This window comes from Homo sapiens, chromosome 2 (genome assembly GCF_000001405.40).
Source record: "Homo sapiens chromosome 2, GRCh38.p14 Primary Assembly".
Classification (NCBI taxonomy): domain Eukaryota; kingdom Metazoa; phylum Chordata; class Mammalia; order Primates; family Hominidae; genus Homo; species Homo sapiens.
Genome location: NC_000002.12, coordinates 128,789,421 through 128,790,486, shown reverse-complemented (window position 1 = coordinate 128,790,486; position 1,066 = coordinate 128,789,421). Strand labels below are relative to the sequence as shown.

The following is a 1,066-nucleotide window of genomic DNA, read 5'->3' as shown; positions in this document are numbered from 1 at the left end:
ATGGGGAAGGTGGTATCTGTGCGACGCTCTGTCTCTGGTGGAGAACGGCTCACGAGAATGAGCAAGGATGTCACATCTCCACCCTGGACGCGCAGGAATCAGGGGGACTGGAGAGACACACAGGATGCTGTCAGTAAACGTGCAACTGTGTCTCATCAATGCCACTGGTTTGCCACAACCACTGGCTCCGAGACTGTAGGCTTAGTGCCACAAATGTTTATCTTGAAGGGCCAGCCCTCCTCCTGCCCCTGAAGGCCTGGACTTGGAACTTGGAGGAGCTCTGGACAGAGAGGTTTTCAAGATCTGAAACAGCTCCACAGACCCACTACACCACCAAGGCAGTGTGCTCGTAAATGAAAGCCACCGAAGCCGTCCTTCCCAGTGGAGGGGCATGGCTGTGAGGAGCACCTGCTATGCACACGTGCCGGCGACTGAACAGCTCACCCGGGTCAGCCACACGCTGACCAGATTCCCTTGTTCATCTGAGCTGCCCTGAGCCTCAGTTGGTGCCTCTTTCCACCCCACACTGCCTGCTGTCCCCACACCCTGGGCACCCGTCTCCCGGGGGCTGAGTGCAAAGCCATGGAGTCGCGGTTCCCGGAGGTGGGGCTGAGGTCCAGTTTGATTCCTCCAGGACCAAGGCATCTGGGTCCCCGACCTGTCACACATCAGCAGACCCACCATAAGAGCATCTGTGGGTCGTGGGGGGAGGTTCCAAGCCCTCGTCCCTCGCAGCTCTTCTCTGGCCCATCAGTAACACGGGCTAACGTTTTTCAAACTACACGCCTAGATTTCCACACACCGGTCCAAGCTCCTTGGTCCTGTATCTTTAACCCAAATAACAGATTATGAAGAGGTTTGGAAGGGGGAGGTGGGTGCTGAATGGAGAGGCTGTAACCCCCATGCTTGCAGTTGGCTGGATTTTATATTGCTCCCAGCATTTTTTCATCTGTCTGTTCAACACTCACCAAATGGAGAACACACAGGGACCTCCTTCCCTTTGGACTCACGTGGAGCTGGGTTCCCGGGAGGCGCTGCTGCTTGCTCAAGTCCAGGAGACTTGTCC

At 56.3% G+C, this 1,066-nt stretch overlaps 1 annotated feature.

The window, feature by feature from the left end:
- Positions 231-731: an enhancer, noted in NCBI's record as "H3K4me1 hESC enhancer chr2:129547330-129547830 (GRCh37/hg19 assembly coordinates)". NCBI's record gives its function as "activates a minimal SCP1, AML or CMV promoter by ChIP-STARR-seq in naive H9 embryonic stem cells {active_cell/tissue: H9 hESC(naive)}" and the evidence as "EXISTENCE:reporter gene assay evidence [ECO:0000049][PMID:30033119]".